The following is a 20,641-nucleotide window of genomic DNA, read 5'->3' as shown; positions in this document are numbered from 1 at the left end:
CTCCATCACCTGCTGTTTAACAACCCACCCTTCATGCATCCTGTTGGCCCTTGTCGTGGCAGGTAAAGAAGACAATGGAGGCCACCCTGCAAACCATCCAGGACATTGTGACTGTCGAGGACTTCGATGTGTCTGACTGCTTCCAGTACAGCAACTCCATGGAGTCCGTCAAGTCCACGGTCTCTGAAACCTTCATGAGCAAGCCCAGCATTGCTAAGAGGAGAGCCAACCAGCAAGAGACAGAGCAGTTTTATTTCACAGTGAGGGAGTGCTATGGCTTTTAAAGAGCGTCAGCATGCACTGCAGCACTCAAGGGAGATTTGGAACTCAGAGTCCTTGTTAAGTGTCTGAAGGACAGGCGTTGAATATCTTAGATACGAATGTGGGCATACTCAGAGACCATCCCTACAGTTAAAGGTGCAAACATTAAAAGTTGTATATGTCTAACAGGGATCCGCCCAAGAGAAAGGATGCTCCCAAGTATACAACTAAGAAGATTTTCTTTTTTAAGAAATTTTTAACTAGCTAGTAGGCTTTCACTGGAAAGTTTCCTTCTCAGGCACAGGGGATCCTGAAAGGGGAACTTCATCTTTTAGTTCTTGGAGAGTACATACAAATATTCATAATAACACATATTTTGTTTATAAAAATCTATAATCTCTTCTAGGTGATATGATGACATTATTTTATAACTTTTATTGTTGGGAAACTATTTTTTCTAATTATTGCTAAAACTTAAAGGATGGGTAATATGCAGCATTACTATTTTGCACATAATTCCAAAACATCGTATTTTCTTATTCATGTATCTCTAGTCTTCTTTTAGACAGTTGGACCCTTTTTTCTCTTTTTTTTTTTTTTTTTTTTTTTTTAAGTATTGTTAACAATCCTTTGGAAGTCACTACTGGTCTTTGTGTGCTGCTTTTTAATAATTGAGTTATTTTGAGCTTGCCAAGTAGGATCTATTGCCTGGACTAAAATTTATTTCCTAATCTTCTGATGACCAAGAAAGGAAAAATTAAGTTTGCAGATGTGAGATGAAATATAGCCAGTGAATATGCATACTGATTCTGAATGAAAGGAATTAACTTTTCAGTCAAGAAACAGTCTGCATGCAGTAAATTGAATTTTTCCTGCAACTGGAATGATTTGTTTAATTCTTCTTTGAACACTGCCCTTTCTCCAGTAAGAACACTAATGATTTGCTAATATTTTTTAAAGAAATCTGTTTTTTTAATTAGTTAAGCTCAGACTTCCTCTTATTTTTTATCCTAGAGAAAACTGCTAAAAGGGAATGATATATCAGTACTATTCTTCTAAAACAACTTTTTAAAAATGATTATACAAAGCCAAATATGCTCATTATATAAAATTTAGAAGCAAAAAGAAGGAAATAAAAATTTTCCATAATTCTACCAGCTAGAGATAATGGTGTTAGAATATATTCCTTTCTAATCTGTTTTCTATGCATGCACAAACACATATGTGAGCACATATTTATAATTTTATTCTAAAAAATAGGATACTGCTGTACATATTGTTTTACAATCTAAGTCATATAATTATAATATTCTTTAAGCATATTTATGAGTAAAATATTAAAACCTATACAAAAAAATAATAGAATGGCATTTTAGCTCATTCATTGATTTTTATAAAATATTTAACACACTCCCTGGTTTGTAGTTAGCGTTCAATAAATGCTAAAAATTTATCTTCACCATCATCATTAATTTATTTATTAATCATTATTAAATTATTCATTGATCATTTTTTGAGGATTTACTATTGCCAGACACTGTGCTACAAGCTGGGAATGCTGACAGTATAAGATAAAGAGGGAAATGATGGGGGATGGGTCATGTAAAGGGAGAACTTTCATTTTTACTTCATATATATCTAAGCAGTTATAATAGGTTGATTTTTGTAATTTAAAAAATGTAAAAATGCATACATGCACTAGTGCATGAATGGCAGCCAGGATGAGTGGAATTGGAGAAGCATCACACACACAGTGACTTTTGTGTTTGATCTTGAAGAATGAGCGAACCAGGCAGGGAGTCGGGGAGGAGAATCGCATTCCTTGAGGAAAGAGCAGCATGTGGGAAAACATAAATGCACGCAATAACCTGGCTCACATGTTAAGAGAACTTTCTGACTATAATGAGGGATGTGTTGCTGCCCCAAGCTTCATTATCTAAGGAGTTTGTTGAACACTCTCTAGAGGCTTTTAATAATAGGATTGTTTAGCTGGTCTGTCTGGACTGGTTAGATATAACACTATTTAAATGACCCAATCTCATTACATTGTGAAGATTTCCATTTTTTAGGTTACGTAAGAAATTTTGGACCTAAAAATCTTGCATTTTAAGACAGTCTTTGTCAGAATTACTTTTTGGCTCTAAATGAATTCTGTAACATTTGTATTCTAAATTGACCTTTAGTAAAAGCAGGAATGGCCATATTCAAACTGGTAACCTCGCAAATCCTGCCCACCCTTTCACTTTCTGTCTCAATACATTGATGTCCTCTAACCCATTTCCTGTCTTATGTGGCTTTAGTGCCACTTATCAAAATTGTGTGCAAATTTCCTTGGCTAACAGTAACAGTTTTTGTCTGGGCTTGTCTAGCAGTGGAATTCTGCCTGAGTTCATCATTTTTGTGACTGGTACTTGAAGTGCATCAGATGATTAATTTCATGATAAGAGGGCTTTTTGGGGTGGTGAAATAGACATTTATGGAAAATGGGATACCCACATTAAGCAGGGTGACTACCTGTTTACCATACAACCCACACAAAGCCAATACAACTATAGATGTGCTTTATTTAGTCTGTTGCCTCTGCAAACATTGCCCGTGTGTTTCTCTATGCCCTTCAAAAACATCAGAGCAGCACATCCTGGAAGATCCTATCTTTTGTAAGTTTAAGAAGCAGCCTCTTGTCACAGGTTGACTCCTAGGTAGTGTGCCTAGTGACCAAGAGGGCTGCTAAGAAAGCTTTCTGACCACTTGTGGCTGTCATTGGACTGATTTGCCCAGATGACATCAATTGGGAATTTGAGGCATGACCTATAAAGATCAGTTGCTTGCAAGAGTCTCAGGAAAATAATTGTGGAGTTAAGAAACTTGAAGCGATTTTTAAAAATTACCTAACCCAACCTTCTCATTTGAAAAATTAAAAAATAAATAGGCCAGATATGGCAGCTCATGCCTGTAATCCCAGCGCTGTGGGAGCCTGAGGCGGGTGGGTCTCTTGAGGCCAGGAGTTCAAGACCAGCCTGGACAACATGGTGAAACCCTGTCTCTACTAAAAACACAAAAATTAGCTGAGTGTGGTGGCAGGCGCCTGTAATCCCAGCTACTCAGGAGGCTAAGGTGGGAGGATTACTTGAACCGGGGAGGCATAGGTTGTAGTGAGCCAAGATCGTGTCACTGCACTCCAGCCTGGGTGACAGAGTAAGACTCTGCCTAAAAAAAAAAAAGAAAGATTAAAAAATAAATAAATCTGCTGGGCGTGGTGGCTCACGCCTGTAATCCCAGCACTTTGGGAGGCCGAGGCGGGCGGATCACCTGAGGTCGGGAGTTTGAGACCAGCCTGATCAACATGGAGAAACCTCGTCTCTACTAAAAACACGAAAAAATTAGCTGGGCGTGGTGGCGCATGCCTCATTCACGTACATGGGAGAGTCTACAAAGTCACACGTATTCATAGGTTAAGCCACATGCTGACAAATGTCATAAGAAGACCCTACACTTTTACCTTGGCCGATCCCTCCCCTCAGTGCAAGCTCTGTGCAAGAGTGAACTTGAACTTCACTCAGTGCAAGAGTGAACACACACTTTGTGCCGGCTTTAAAGAACCCAGCACAAAGCCAGTCTGCATGGCCTACAGACATATTTTGCTGGACAATGATTACTTGCTTTTCTTTTTGTTTTTCTTGTATTTGCCTGTTTGATTGGCTCCTGACATACCAGAAAATCACTGTCAAAACATTAGCTTAACATTTGTTAAGGAAACAAAAAGACTTCGGTGACCACACCTTATAAACCAAACAGTTTTGTAAATCACTTTGGAAAATTTCACTAAAAAAAAAAATCCTTAACAATATAATAAGTAAAGAAAATTTAAAACCACAAAACATCACTGTGTTTGTAGGGGGAGGTCTGATTTACAGAGTAACCACATAGTAATTATAATTATTAGAATGTCCAGTTTTCAAAAAACGTTACAAGGCATACAAAGAATGGGAAAGTGTGGCTCATTCAAAGGAACAAAATAAAGTGACAGAAAATATCCCTAAAGAAACCCAGACATCAAACTTACCAGACAAAGACTTTAAAACAACTGTCTTCATTATACTCAAATGTCAAAAGGAAAACATAAACAAAGAAATAAAGGAATCAGAAAAAATATTAAAAAGTAGGAATATCAGCAAAGAGATAACAAATTCTGGAGTGGAAAACTACAATGATAAAAATTTAAAAATCACCAGAGGGATTTAAGAGTATATTTGCACACACAGAGGAAGCCATGAACTTGAAGAGAAGAAAATGGAAAATACTCTGAGAAACAGAAAGAATAAAAAATAAACAATGAGCACAGACTAATGAATCTGTGGGACATCATCAAATAGACCAACATTCATATTCTAGAAGGATAAATTATGTTGTTAAAAAGTTTACCATTCTTTCTTTTCACCTTTCTTCCTTCTTCCTTCCCCCTCCTCCTCCTTTTTACTTTTCTTCCTCTTCCTTTCTCTTCTTCTTTCTCTCCTTCATTATCCCTTTCGCTGTCTCTCTTTCTCCCTTTCTCTTTTTTCTTTTCTTTCAATTTTCTCAATTACTAAGAGATGTTTAAGTACCCTTAGCATGTTAGTAGATACGGTTATTTCTCCCTTTAGTTCTCTTTTGAGATTTATAGTCACTCAAATAAAGAGATAACCCAAACATAAGCGTCACAAACAGGCTTTCATACCATTCTTAATTTGGTCCTGTAATTCTTCATTGCTGTATTAATTTTCTGATGCTTTTAAGGATGTTTTATAACAAGTTGTGTAGCTTTTTCCAATGGAATGTTTATTCTGAATTATCTAATTCATATTGTAAGTATAGAGGGAGTTTAACATAAAATTATTAAACTAATATTTGTGAAAGAATGTATTTGTGCATTTAACAAATATGTTAATCCTCAGACTGTTATTGGGCAGCTGAGCATACAGGAATAAAAATAACACAATTTTTATGTGTACAATATTTATGGAATACGTTACTGGACCCAATAAATAATTTAGTTAATAACATGACAAAGAACAGAAATTGTATACACTATAGAGCATAGTAATGGAATAATGAATGATTAAAGTTATTAATATTAGGTAGAAAATGAAGGGTATCTTTGAGAGCAGAATTCAAGGAAGCAAGCAATTCGCCTTATCAGGAAAGAGTTACCTGTGGATAAAGGAGAAACTGAAAAATTTACAAGTCAAGACTTTTTGAGCAAAAACAAAAATATGACTATTAGTCACCAATTCAGTACAGTGAAAAAAATGTTGAAGAGATATCTTGGAAGTAAACCATGTTGTGGAAGAGCATGTAGGGTTTTGATAATCATGGGATGATTCTGAATTAATTTTAAATGCGATAGGAATATATGAGATAATTTCACCAGAGAATAATATGATTGTGTTTGCATTTCAAAGGGGTGTATCTGGTGCACTGTGTAGAATAAATAGGTTATGTGAGCAAATAAATTGGGAGGCTACTCTAATCCAGCAAAAAAAGGTAGTGACTTAGGTGAGAATGCTGTCAGCATGAGTGGTAGTAGTGGTGAGAAGTCGTTAGGCCATGGATGTATTTCATAGGACTGGCCAAGAGAACTGCAGCTAAATTGGAGTGTAGGGAGTGAAATAGAGAACTCAAAGATGACTCTCAGCAATGGAAGGTGACAGCTGTCACTGAAGCATGCTGATGCCTCTTATTAAGAGAGTTACTTGGGAATGGCAAGATCAAAACTTCTCACTTTCAAATTTATGGAAAATATTGTTTTCAGAACGAGTGACTTTGGGATCAGAAAGCCACCATTCTAATTGATGGTTCCACGACTACACGGGCTCACACTCGCAGGAGCAAAAGTAAATCATCACAAAGGTGCTTCTTGATAATTCTAGAGAATGGAGAATTACTGTAACATCTTTCTGATTTTAGGAGAGGTAGCAGTTCCCTTTTTAGCCTAAACGCTATTTCTTTTTAAAGCTCAGCCAAGAGACTCCATTATAATTTTCAAATGTGTGTAACTTAAATTCTCATATGAAATACCACTGTGCTTAAATTAGTCAAAACATTTTCCCCATCTACAACTCTATCTTGTCATTGTAATCATTTTCACAAAAGTGACTGCAGCTCTCAGACCCTAAAAAGAGAAAATCCAGGGTAGTTTATCTGATCTAGTTAGTTTCGAAGACAGGATCTAGAGATTATTTAATATGAAATGGGTCACCTGAAATGAAGTGTTTACTGAAAACAGCTTGGATCAGCCCAGTTTTCTACCACTGAACCATGCATTTGGTTTAAAAAACACAACAACTCTGCGGAATATCGGCTGCTTCCAACTGTGTTGAAGGTGTTAAAGAAAAGAGCATAAAATTAAAAATGATCATCTGAGGCCTTTATAGTCTCTGCTCAAGAGACTAGAGTTTTCCATTCTTAACGGAACACCCAAATATCTTAATAATTGGGCAAAATCTAAATATCAGAGATAATTTTATCTTGAAGATTGTTAAATTATAACGGTGATTCACTAGCTTGCCACGTCTCTGAGTCAAAAATTAGGTCTTTGTTTAGGAATCAATCATAATCTGCAATTTGGAAATAGGAAGATTTTAGAAGACTCAGACATTGACTTTCTTGTGTGCAAAAAAAAAGAAGTATTGAGATAAGACAAGTCTTTCCTTGCAAGGATACCTCTAATGCTCATACACCACCTCCCCTAACATTAATAGAGCTTCCAGGTCACTAACCAGTGTCAGAGAGCAGCCCACGCAACCAGAAATTCAAAAGATGTCGAACATAGGGTCAAGCTTAGAATAAGACGTCTTAGCTAATTAAGTATGCTTTTTTCCCGAAATTCATATTAACAAAATCTTGGATATGTCAGAGAATGCATTCTAAGTTCACTCAACCTAGGAGGGAGAAACATAATTTTAAATTAAGAGCTGAAGCATTCTTGTCCTAACACAAAGCAAGGAAAACGAAATATCACACCACAGGAGGGATTTCACAAATTTGCGTCAACATCAAAACCTTAAAATAGGCAAGGAGAATGCAGATTCACAATGAACTCCTGTACTTGTTTTGTTCAGAGAAGAGATGGTTCTGAGAGAATGACAGTGAACCAACCCCAGCTGGTTTAGTTGGTGCTTTCAACTGCTGCTTCTGATCAACTCCTTTAGCTAGAATAAATTGATGAGGATTTTGGCATGTGGTATTAGAGATGGTTATTAATTTTTTCCTCTTATTTGCATTGTTCAATGTAGTAAATACTAGCTGCTACTTCAATTCAAATTAATTACAATGAAATATACTTAAATGTTGAATTTTTTAGTCACTGTTGGTTCATTATTGAATATCTTCAGCTAAGATTTCCCATCTAAATACACTAAGAGGTGATTTAGTTAACTGGTCGTCCACAAATATTGAAGCTGTTGTTAACTCCTGATATATTCTCTGCAAAGAGAATATTCATGAGCCTCCTCCTGAAATCAGCAGCCTAGAGATAGTTTTATAAATTGGATACAAGTTGGAAATGTATATACTCTTTCAGTTTTTGAAATATTAGCTTCCCAGGGAAGAAAATCAAATTCATAAGATATGTTAGGACAATTTAACTCAAGATGTTCAAAACTGAAATGACATGTTCTACAATATGTGATAAAACCAACCCCTAACAAAGCAAAACAGGGATTGACCTTAAAGACCTGCCTTTTCCTCATGCCCCAGCCAATCAGTTTTCAAATCTTGCATTTTATTTTGAAAGGTCCTTATCCCCCGGTCTCTTGTTTCTAGACTTCGCACATATTTAAGTTTGTTACCTCTATCTACTGTCTTTTCTCTCTTCAAACAGTATCTATGCCTGCCAAATGTGAACATACAAAAAACAAATCAGAATATGCCATTCTGATTTAAACTGCTTATTAGTTAATACCCTCAAGATAACATCTGGGTTCTTAGCTGCAATGAGTCAAGCTTACTTACATCTTTTTTTCTCTTTGGCTGCACATTTCCTATCACATCACACTCCAGCAATACCAAACTGTGCCGTCCTTCTACCCCATCTCCACTATTTTGCCCCCCACCGCCGTGGCTTTTCGCCCCCCGCCGCGGCTTCCCCCCCCCCACCCCCCACCCCGCCTCGGCTTTTTGACCGCCGCGGCTTTTTACCCCCCGCCGCCGTGGCTTTTCGCCCCCCGCCGCCGCGGCTTCCCCCCCTCCCCCCCCCCCACCCCGCCTCGGCTTTTTGACCGCCGCGGCTTTTTACCCCCCGCCGCCGTGGCTTTTCGCCCCCCGCCGCCGCGGCTTCCCCCCCTCCCCCCCCCCCACCCCGCCTCGGCTTTTTGCCCGCCGCGGCTTTGTTGTGACCCCCCTCGCCGCCGCGGCTTTTTGCCCGCCGCGGGATTTTGCCCCCCACCGCCGCGGCTTTTTCCCCACGGCGGTTTTTTGCACCCCCCCCCCCCCGCCGCCTCGGGTTTATGCCCACCGCGGCTTTTTGCGCCCCCGCCGCCGAGGCTTTTTGTTGCCGCGGCTTTTTACCCGCTCCAGCTTTTTGCCCCACCGCCGCCGCGGGTTTTTGCCCGCCCCGGCTTTTTGCCCGCCCCGGCTTTTTGCCCCCACGGCGCCTCGGGGTTTTGCCCGCCCCGGCTTTTTGCCCGCCCCCGCCGCCGCGGCTTTTTGTTCCCCGCCACCACGGCTTTTTGCCGGTCACGGCTTTTTGCCCCCCCGCCACCGCAGCTTTTTGCCCCCCCGCCACCGCGGCTTTTTGCCCCCAACGCCGCGGCTTTTTCCCCCACGCCGCCGCGCCTTTCTGCCCGCCACGGCTTTTTCCCCCGCGCCGCTGTGGCTTTTTGCACCCCCGCCGCCGTGGCTTTTTGCCCGACCCGGCCTTTTACCCCCCCCGCCGGTGCCGCACTTATTTGCCCGCAGCGGCTTTTTGCACCCCCGCCGCCGCTGCTTTTTGCGGGCCGCGGCTTTTTGCCCCCCCGCCGCGGCTTTCTGCCCGCTGCGGCTTTTTGCACCCCGCCGCCATGGCTTTCTGCCCACCGCGGCTTTTTGCCTCCACGGCTTTTTGCCAGACCCGGCTTTTTGCCCCCTGCCGCCGCGGTTTTTTGCCGGCCGTGGCTTTTTGCCCCCCGCCCCCAGGACTTTCTGCCCGCCGCGGCTTTTTGCCCCCTGCCACCGCGGCTTTTTTTGCCTCCGCGGCTTTTTGCCCGACCCGGCTTTTTGCCGCCGCGGCTTTTTCCCCCCCGCCGACGCGGCTTTTTGCCCGACCCGGCTTTTTGCCGCCGCGGCTTTTTCCCCCCCGCCGACGCGGCTTTTTGCCCGCCGCGGCTTTTCGCCCCCCACGGCTTTTGCCTCCCCGCTGCCACAGCTTTTTGCCCCCCGCCGCCGCGACTTTTTGCCCCCCTGCCCCCCCGGATTTTTCCCCCCTGCGGACGCGGCTTTTTGTCGCCCCTCCCCCACCCCTCCCCCCCCCCCCGCCGCCGCGGCTTTTTGCGTCTTTGTGCCCCCGCCGCCGTGGCTTTTTGCCCGCGCCACCACTGCTTTTTGCACCTTTTTGCCCCCGCCGCCGCGGCTATTTGCCCCCCGCCGCCGCGACGTTATATGGTTTTTTGCTCCCACCGCTTTTTGCCTCCGCCACCGCAGCTTTTTGCGCGTCTCGGCTTTTTGCCCCACCAGCGCCGCGGCTGTTTGCCCCCTGCCACCACGGCTTTTTCCCCGCCGCGGCTTTTTGCCCCCCCCGCCGCCTCGGGTTTATGCCCGCCGCGGCTTTTTGCCCCATGGCCATCCTCAGAAGTGTGAGTGGAACAGAGTGAAGGGAAAGCTGTTTTCTTCGAAAGCTCAAAAATCTTGAACTTTCAAATAGGGATAAGTGTTATTTTTGCTCCAAGCACACATTTGAGAAATCTTCCATTTAGCGGATCTGATGATAAACCCACATTTTTGTTTGTTTTAATCTGAAAATGTATTTGTATGGTTCTTGGAAATATTTTTTTCATATAAAATTATAGTGTATCAGCTTATTTCAAGTTTTATTTACCATTTGATAATTACTCCTAAAATGTCATTGATTAAAGAAAGAATCATCTATTGCTCCAACTGCCCTTTACTAAAGGTAATTTGTCTTTTTAACCTCATCAGGCTCCTTTTAAGCTCTCAAACTGACCTTTTTTTTTTTTTTACAGATTCAATGCATTAAGTCAATTTATTACTTATGATGAATTTATTTATGTATTTATTTTCGCTATCACAAGTAGAAAAAGCCTATAAGTTGCTATGCCAAAAACCTGCCTCTAGATGGCAAACAAACCCCGCAATACACAAAAGAGAGCCAAATTCTTAGAAACCCTGGGAAAGGAAGAGGGCTACTGTCCCATTAACAACTTGGAGCCCTTAAGCCAAGAATGAGGTGGAACATCTGGGAGGAGACACAAGGGTGCGGAGTAGTGGGGAACCTGCTCTGTGCTCTGAGACTGAAAGCCCAGCCTTGCCTCTCACCGCTGCCTTGACTGTGTCCCCATCTGCTGTGAAGTGAATGGTGTCTTCTAAATTCGTGCTGAGCCCTAATTGCTGAAAACTGTAAGACATGCAATGGGGGGATTATGTGCATCTTCCCGACACCAACATGATGCTCAGGAAGGAGACTTCTTGTTTTCTCTTAGGATTCTTTTACTAACCAAGATTTTGCCTCTACTGCATATTTCCCTTTGCTGATTGTCCCTCCCTTTTGACAGAAGATGGCCCAGGGCATTCACTACTAAGTCTCAACCTCTTACCCAAAGCCCTCAGTCTAGTGTTGCTCTTTCCTTCGTGCTATTTTTGTTTCTTTCTTTTCTTGTAATCATCTTGGCAATAAAATAATCAGTTTTTTCTTTCTACCTATTAAAGATGTTACCTTAGTTAATTACAGGGGTTTCCTTCAGAATGATAAATGGTCTTTCAAAATGATGTAAAGAGATCTAAATCCGTGTGCTCCAGAACTTGAATGAAGCTCTGTCTAGCACGGGTGCCAGTGACTCTCCCAGAGTGCTCCATGCAGCTGGACCCACAGAGTCCCTCTGTGCTGTCATATCACCCACTGCCTTCTGTGAATGAGATATTCTGATTAGAATCCTGGTGGATGCTATTTGAGCCAGTGCCCCCACAACTCCTACGAAAGCCGAGGACCACAGGCCCCTGAAGACAATCACAGGTCTCTAGACTCACAGCTCATGACCGTCCTCTGCAGACACAGCTTCTCCCCGGATGGCTGAGGGTTGTCATTGGCTGTGTCCTTCCTTGTGCATGACAACAGGAGACATAGAAGGTCTGTAAGCAGCCCTGCAAGCCAGGTTCTGAGCAAGCCCTCCTGTGTGGGGCCCTCTTACCTGGACATAGGTGTGTAAACCAAAAATGAAACTCTAAGCTCCCTAACCAACTGAATGAACTCCTCCTCTCAGCCAAGCACACACCAAAATCAACCTGAAATACAATGCAGCCCATGATCGGAACGGATGATTGGATATGCCTTAACTTACCCTCTTCCCTTTAAAATTCAGGCACAACTGACCAGCTTTTAATATGAAGACAGAGACCTTGAGACTGACAAAGAAAACTCTTTATAGCAATAAGATACCAATGTGACAGATACCACGTCCTAAGAGAAATCAAAGTATTTTCCCCAAGATATTGTTATTTAATGTATTGAAAAATGCCTCTGCAAAGCTGGTTCTTGTGGGAAAAATCTACATTCTGTAGAGACTCCTTTTTAAGTCTCTTTCCTGACCCAGAGAGATTTAACTAAGAGTTTGGCACCTTTTAAGTCTACTAAGAAACAATTACAATCTATTCTCTCTGAAGCCTGCTACCTGGAGGCTCCATCTGCATGATGCAACCTTGGCTCCAAAACCCTTTTTCTAAACCCAGAAACTCCCTTGTGTTGATTACAGGTCATTAGATAAACTCTTTCAACCACCTATGAAATCTTTGAATCCACCTATAACCTGGAAGTCCCCAACATCCCCCCTCCTTCGGGCTGTCCTGCCTTTTCATGTCAAAGCAATGTACAGCTTACACGTATTGATTGATATCTTATGTCTCCCTAAAACGTGTAAAACCAACCTGTAGCCCGACGACCTTTGACACACGTTCTCAAGACCTCCTGAGGCTGTTTCACTGATATTTCTTTAACTTTGACCAAGTAAATTTCTAAACTGATTGAGACTTTTCTCAGATACTTATTTGTTTATAGGTATCACTGGATACACTTAAGGAATTGAAGAGATTTATGACATTGAGAAAAGGAGGAAGCCAGGGTGTGTGGACATAGAGAGAGAGAGAGAGAGAGAGAGAGAGAGAGAGAGAGAGAGATTGTGATGTATGTACAGGACTAACACTGAGACCTGGTTATGTAATGGTGTAGTACTGAGTATCATCCCCAAATAGTGAGGTTTCATTCCATGAAGACTATGCATGTATCTCATTTGGGAAAACAGCTTTTGCAGGTGTAAATTAAGGAGCTTGAAACAGGGAGATGGTCTTAGATTAATCAACTGGGACTTAAATGCAAACTCAAGTGTCCTAAAAAAAACAAGAGGTAGAGAGACATTTAGCATAGACTGAAGTGGAGAAGGCAGTGTGAACACAGAGACAGAGATTGCAGTGATGTGTCCACATCCCGGGAGAGAGAAGCCACCAGAAGCTGGAAGAGCTAAATCAGACTGCTCCCTAGAGCTTCAGAAGGAGCCAGAACTGATGACTCCAAGATCTTAGCCCAGTGAAACTGATCTGGACTTCTGAACTATGAGAGATTCCATTCCTGTTGTTTGAAGCTACCACATTTTTGAGAACTTGTTACAGTAGCCCGAGGACACTAACACAAATGGGCTCCAGGAAAATCCAGACTAAAGGTGTTGTGTTGGTTTGCAATCTCCTTGCTTAACTTTCTGATACTAGACGTAAATAGATTGGTGAAAAATTTTGTGATTGAAGAAATGTACATGAAACCTACAGTGTACAGAGAAGCATCTGTTAGTTATAAGATAAATACTGATAATTTTAGTTGAAAATGACATATGACTGTTAATATCTCACATAACATTCTGAGTTACTCAAGAATGCATAAAAGAGGCACTAGATACTCTTCTCATGTATGTGTGTGTGTCTGTCTATACATGGATGTACACTTCATGGTGCATCAGCTGGCGGAACCCTCAGGACACCCCTTCACATCCTCAGTGCCCCATTTCACACATGAGGAAACTGTTCATGACAGCACATGGCTGATTTGCATAAAAGTCACTTGGTCAGCAGTTGTCGAAGCTGAAATTGGAATCTAGGTCTGTCTGACCTTAACTTATGTTCCTTCCACAGAGCCACGTTCATTCCATAGAGGGACCCACCACCTATAAAACCAGAAAAGAGACAAAGCCAGAAGTGCAGGGTGGATTTCTTAACACAAGCTCACTACGACCTCTAGTCCTCATCACGCTGACACTAAGCTTAAACCCAGACCCTTCTACAGTTTTGTCTACAAAGCACAATTTGCCCAAAGCCTTTACAAACACCAACAGCCTTTCTTTCAGATATGGCAGCAGGGTCACATCTTACACGGCCCTGACCACATTTTGTCTCCTCTGCCATCCCCATCTCTCTGACTCAGTCCTCGCTTGCAGCCATGAAAAAGGATGAGTTCATGTCCTTTGTAGGGACATGGATGAAGCTGGAAACCATCATTCTCAGCAAACTATCGCAAGGACAAAAAACCAATCACTGCATGTTCTCACTCATAGGTGGGAATTGAACAATGAGAACACTTGGACACAGGAAGGGGAATATCACACACCGGGGACTGTTGTGGGGTGTGGGGAGGGGGGAGGGATAGCATTAGGAGATATACCTAATGTAAATGACGAGTTAATGGGTGCAGCGCACCAACATGGCACATGTATACATATGTAACAAACCTGCATGTTGTGCACATGTAACCTAGAACTTAACAATAATAATAATAATAAAAAGAATGGGTCTTGTACATCCAATTTGCCCTATGAATGTTAAAACAGCAAACCCGCATCCCCTTCCTCTTCTCATGTGCTGTGAGAGATGACCTCCAGGCTCTCAGATACCAAGATTGTACAAGACCTAACCCAGAGAATTACTCAAGACACTTTCTACGTAAGAAGAATTGTGGTACTAGCTCTCCTCATAGAAAAATGTTTTCTGTCTCTTGTTGAAATTGACAGCAAACACAAAAACACAGAACTACTTGGGAGAACAGAGGACAGTGATACACTAGGGAAGTAAAACACACCCCTTCCCCTTGCATTGGTTTCCTGTTGCTGCTGTAACAAATTACCACAACTTTACTGCTCCACATCACACAAGTGTATTATCTTACATTTCTGGAGGTCAGAAGTCTCAATGAAGTAAAATCAAGGAGTAATAGGGCTCTATTCATTCTAGGCTTCAAGAGAGAGAATCCAATGTCGAGCATTCCATCTTTCTGATGTTCCCACATTCCTAGCAGCATGGCCCCTTCCTCCATCACTCCAGTTTCCCTGTCCATTGTCCCAGGTCCTCTCTGGCTGTTACCTTCCTCCCTCCCTATTGTAAGGACCCTTGTGATTATGATGGTCTCACCCAGATAATTCAGGATATTCTCCTGACCTCAAAATTCTCAACCATGTCTGCCAAGTTATTTTTGACTTGTTCATAAGTAATGATCATAGATTCCAGATATTAGGACAAAGATGTCTTTAGTGGGTGTATTATTCATTCCACAAACAACTCTCATCATCCACACAATGGCCTTCCCCTAAGGTAGAATAAAAATATCACAAGGCAGATTTATGAGGCGATCGACCTAGAAAAAACATGAGACTCTAGGACTGTCTGATGTGTGGATGTCAAATCCTGGGAGATTCTGAGCCTCTGCTCTATGTGGACTCTATATTGTGTAGCCATTTGTGGAAGGCTTCTGTGATTTTGTGACCTAGAGAAAACGAATCTCTGCTAAAATCAAATCTAAGAAAGATTGGCAAAGGGAATTTAAAGATTTCCTAAATTTTTGGAATTTCCCTAGGCATTAAAACATGAGAAGTGGCAATAATTCAAACCAACGATGCCCTCCAAGAATGAGGATTTTTCCAATGCATTAGGTTGGGTCCCCTCAGTGAGAAGGATGCCAAAGATTCGCATGCAGGCAGTATATTTACAAAGTGCGGGAAACAAGCAAGTGAGCAAGGGAGGGGAGGAGGGAAAGGGAAAGTGAAAAGTGCCTCAGAAGGAGCCACCTCTGAGGATGACGAGCGCTCAAGCCCACATAGAAACACAGGAAAAATGCCTCTGTTATTCCACCTGAGAGGTGAGGGAGCTGGGGGATGTGTACACCTCCCTTGTCATCACTGATTGACAACCGTCCTAGGGGATGCTAATTCCAGGCCATGAGGTCTGCCTCATTTGCAGCCTGAGCTGCTTCCCCAGGTTCAGATAGAGCAGTGAAGGGGAGAAAGGGCCATAGAGAGTCAGCTGAAGTATAATGTCTAGAATCCCCAAGGCATAGTAACAATGACTGCTAAAATTATGCACAAAGAAAAAGTGCATTTGAATCCAGAGATGTATCTCTCTGAATCTGGATATATGGATCCTGGCAGCCTGTTTGGTAGCCATTTCCCAGAAATCCAGTCCTCTGGAAAAGCAGGAGGAGGTTTGTGCATAGGCTGCACTACCTTGGTCTGGCCATGCGTAGTCGTGCATGAGAACTACTCCCTGGAGTATTTCTCAGTCCACTGACACTGATGTAATTGGCTCCACTTCCCCTGCTGTTGAGCCAGGCCGACACGCCCTGGGCAAAGGCATCTGTGTGAAGTATTGAGGTTCAAATCAGTGCTTAAGATATGTTTGGATGCAAAACACTTTTTCATCTACATGGGCAGTGTCTTGGCAGAGGATGGAGATTCTCTCTAAATGCATGTGAGACAGGGTGGCTGGCATCTGGGTCAGGATGATGCCCTGGTGCATGGCAAGAACATGCCTTGTGCAGCAGCTGCCCTCGCTAAGGAGAGAGGCTCACTGACCTGGCTTTTCCCCCTCACCTGCTCTCCAGAAAGCCAGACTCTAGGGCAGATGCTCCTGAGACCCCAGGAACAGGCTGGTGGGGAGCGCAGCTCAGAGCATTACTCAGGGGATGTGGCCTTTGTCATCCTACTTTGAAACAATTGACTATTTGGGCCTAGATTGATACAGGGCTTCAAGTTGATTTTAATCCAGGCTCCTATAGTCAGCGCGTGAAACAGAGATTTTAGTTGAAATAATGAGACCTGGTATTACTAGTCAGCTCTCCATGCTGGAGAACCATAAGAAATTATACCAAAGGCAGGAAAGGGGATAGAATATGGGGATCATCACACCAAGAATAAGGTGCAGCCCATTTAGCCCCTGGGTCTTAAAGAGACCCATAGCTCTGGATAATGGCAGATCTATGCGTGACACAGTTATCATCTTTGTGCATCTTCAGAGAATTGTTTTTCCTTTTACTCCTAGGGACAATGTCTTAAGTTTGTTAGTAAATTCTATTGAATTTATTAAAGATGCTTCTGATAAATTCTTTTTATATTCATTTCAAACAAGAAGCAATTTCACACTGACATTGTTATTATAGCACTAAATACTTTTACACTCATCAAATTCCTTTGAGACTAACTGAAATTTCTGACAGCCCCACATTCTACAACTTTATTGTAAATTTTCTGCCAAAAATGATGCTTTCCTATACACTCCTAATACAAGTATAAATATATTATTTAATCTAGTCTTAGGTTGATTTAAAATTTTGAAAATTCACTCCAAACATATGTTCTGTAACCATATGGCCACCAATGAGAAATGCATTCTTTCAAGGTAAATCTGTGCTGCCCTGGTTTGACCTGGGACTCTGGGGATACTGCGCCCCTGTGCTGAGTTACTGAGATGAGCCAGCCCTGCAGCTGTGCTCAGCCTGCCCCATCCCCTGCTGATTTGCCTGTTCCTAGAGCACAGCCCCCTGCCCTGAAGACTTTTTATAGGCTGGTCACACCCGGTGCAGGAGTCAGCCCCAGTCAGGACACAGCACAGACATGAGGGCCCCCACTCAGCTCCTGGGGCTCCTGGTGCTCTGGCTGCCAGGTAAGGAAGGAGAACACTAGGATTATACTCGGTCAGTGTGCTCAGTACTGTCTGGAACTTCAGGGAAGTCCTCTGATAACATGATTAATTGCGACAATATTTGTTTTTATGTTTCCAACTTCAGGTGCCAGATGTGACATCCAGATGACCCAGTCTCCATCCTCCCTGTCTGCATCTGTAGGAGACAGAGTCACCATCACTTGCCGGGCGAGTCAGGGCATTAGCAATAATTTAAATTGGTATCAGCAGAAACCAGGGAAAACTCCTAAGCTCCTGATCTATGCTGCATCCAGTCTGCAAAGTGGGATTCCCTCTCGGTTCAGTGACAGTGGATCTGGGGCAGACTACACTCTCACCATCCGCAGCCTGCAGCCTGAAGATTTTGCAACTTATTACTGTCAACAGAGTGACAGTACCCCTCCCACAGCGTTACAAGTCATAACATAATCCCCAAGGAAGCAGATGTGTGAGGCTGGGCTGCCCCAATGCTCCTTCCGGTGCCTCTATCTGCTGAGGGAAGTTCTCAAACTCAGTCAGGTTTGGAAAGTCATTGGGAGATTTTCCTAGAGGAGGCCAGGGAGGTTCCTCTGAACCCTAAGCCTCTTTCACCCTCATCCCCAGCAGAAAAGATGTGACAATGCCTGTCCTGACTGAATAAAGAAGAGAGATAAGTCCAACTGAGGAGTCTGTGTTATGGGATAATCGGAATTTGTACAGCAAAAGAGAAGCTATTCTCAGTATTTCAAGGAGAAATTATTCAAGTTGAATAAATTAGAGCCTAAACCACAGTCTTTCCGAAGCCTATGGAATGTTATTCATGAAGCAGGTACTAGACACAGGGGATTCTCAGGTGCTACTTCAGAAGCCAGGGTGCACCTGCCCCTGGTGGTATGTGCTGAACACCGTGTGATGATCCTCAGTCCTGTCTGGGAAGCCCAGGTCTTCCCAGACAGGAATGCTTTGATAAATCCACTGCTAGGTAGGTAATTCTTCTGTAACATTAATAATTCGGTTTTACTTTTGGATCCTAAAGTGGAACTACTTAGAAAATCTGCAAAAATCATGCAAAGAAAATCATGTAAAATCATGATCTTTACTTAGGCACTTACAGGTGAAATGACGAGGTATCTGGAATTGCATTAAAATAGATCAAGGTGAAAAAGACTGACAAAAACATTAACTGTTAAAACTTGGGGCTATATATCAAAGACATTAGTTTCTCTATGAGTATATTTCAAATTTTCCTCAATAAATTTTTTAAAAATTCAATTTAAAATTCAAGCCACAAATAAATGCTTTTTAAAAATTTCTTAGATTATACAAATAGTGCCATAACATCAAGAATAATCCCAAATCATTCCATATACTTCAAAAGATACAAAACCAGGCTGGGTGCGGTGGCTCACGTCTGTAATCCCAACACTTTGGGAGGCCGAGGTGGGCGGATCACCTGAGGTTGTGAGTTTGAAACCAGTCTGACCAACATGGAGAAACCCCGTCTCTACCAAAAATACAAAATTAGCTGGGTGTGGTGGTGCATGCCTGTAATCCCAGCTACTGGGGAGGCTGAGGCAGGAGAATCACTTGAACTCGGGAAGTGGAGGTTGCAGTGAGCCGAGATTGCGCCATTGCACTCCAGCCTGGGCGACAAGAGCAAAACTCCATCTCAAAAAAAAAAAAAAAAAAAAAAAAAAAGACACAAAAGCAGGAACTCTTTTCCAGGAGCAATCCCATTTAGTTAAGAAAAAGAAGAAAAAAATATTCCCTAGATTCAGCCAGTTCCTTATCTCTACTGTCCTTCAGAGTCAAATTTCTTAAAAAAATAAGCAACTCTGCCAGGCGTGGTGTCTCACGTCTGTAATCCCAACACTTTGGGAGGCCAAGGAGGGCGGATCACAAGGTCAAGGGATCGAGACCATCCTGGCCAAGATGGTGACACCCCATCTCTACTAAAAATACAAAAATTAGCCCAGCGTGGTGGCACACGCCTGTAGTCCCAGCTACTCAGGAGACTGAGGCAGGAGAATGGCTTGAACCCAGGAGGCGGAGGTTGCAGTGAGCCGAGATCACGCCACTGCACTCCAGCCTGGTGACAGAGCAAGACTCTGTCTCAAAGAAAAAAATAATAATAATAAGCAACTCCATCTCTCCCCACTTCATCCTTCTCAGCCCTCGGTCCTCTGTGATCTGGCTCATGTTCCTGCTGCCTTACTGAGGCTGCTTTAGTAAGGGTACTAGTAAGCTTCCAACTGGCAACTCCAAATGACTATTTTCAGTATACAACTTACTTGGAGTCTACTTAGCATCTTCAGTTATTGAACTTCCTCCTTTAACTCACTTCCAAAATACTACTCTCTCCTCCTTCCTTCTCTATTTCTTTGTTGGCTCTTCTTCCTCTGCCTTCTCTTCAAATATTTCTACTTCCTCTCACTCCTTCTAGTTCTCTTTTCTGTTTCCACAATACTTGTTCTATCAACTACTCCTTTCACTTCATTCACAATAATACTGATGATTCCCAAGCATATATCTCTCATCATGCGTCCCCCTCACATATCTGCTCTTTAATTCTTCTTTTTAATTCATTTGATACCTTCTAAAAGTCTCTCACAATTCAGATAGTCCTTCAAGCCAGGAACATGGGAGTCATTCTCAAATTATCTTTCTCACTCACCCCCTGTCCCATCTCCAAATTTTTATATAAGCTTCAGATTTCATGGACTGTACTTAAAAATTTTTTATAGTTGATGTGTCTCTATTTCAGCAGCTACTGTGTTATCATTTCTCATCTTAGACTATTACAATCTTTCTGGCTGTGTTTACAGATCTTTCCAGTCCACCCCCACACTGAGGTCAGGAGATCTTTCTAAAATGTATTTCATACTCTATCTTGCTTAAAACTTTCAAGTGCTTAACAACTAAATGCAGTATATATTTCCAGATTGGATCCTGGACCAGGGGAAAAAAAAAGCTATAAAGATCCTTTTTAGAACATCTGAATATAGACTATATCAGATAATAGAATATCAATGTTACATTTCTTTAACTTGGTAATGTACTATAATCACATAAGGAAATGTCCTTGCTCTTAGGAAATATACACAGAGGTAGTTAGGGACAAACTAGCAAATGATTTAGGGGAAAAAATGATACCTACAGAGAGAGCAAACACAATAAAGCAAATATAGCAAAACATTTTCAATTGGTGAATCTGGGTAAAGGGTATACAAGA

General features: G+C 42.3%; 1 protein-coding gene and 1 gene segment (V, D, J or C); both read left to right on the top strand.

Moving 5' to 3' along the window:
- Window positions 1-5,156, top strand: part of SRGAP2B (SLIT-ROBO Rho GTPase activating protein 2B) — a 208,093-nt gene extending 202,937 nt beyond the window's left edge. For all 11 annotated transcript variants that reach the window (XM_005277421.5, NM_001385227.1, NM_001366280.2 and 8 more), the window contains one exon: window positions 63-5,156. In XM_005277421.5, coding sequence (XP_005277478.1) covers window positions 63-284 — 222 coding nt within the window. In that variant the 3' untranslated portion in view covers window positions 285-5,156. The remainder of the gene's footprint in view (window positions 1-62) is intronic.
- Window positions 5,157-17,363: 12,207 nt separating this feature from the next.
- LOC107985528 (immunoglobulin kappa variable 1-39-like) lies at window positions 17,364-18,089 on the top strand. The segment is given in 2 exon segments: window positions 17,364-17,412; window positions 17,537-18,089. Coding segments are annotated over 2 exon segments (372 nt in total).
- Window positions 18,090-20,641: the final 2,552 nt, after the last annotated feature.

Source organism: Homo sapiens, chromosome 1, assembly GCF_000001405.40.
Source record: "Homo sapiens chromosome 1, GRCh38.p14 Primary Assembly".
Classification (NCBI taxonomy): Eukaryota; Metazoa; Chordata; class Mammalia; order Primates; family Hominidae; genus Homo; species Homo sapiens.
The sequence above is the reverse complement of the archived record's forward strand: the minus strand, read 5'-3'. Positions and strand labels throughout refer to the sequence as shown.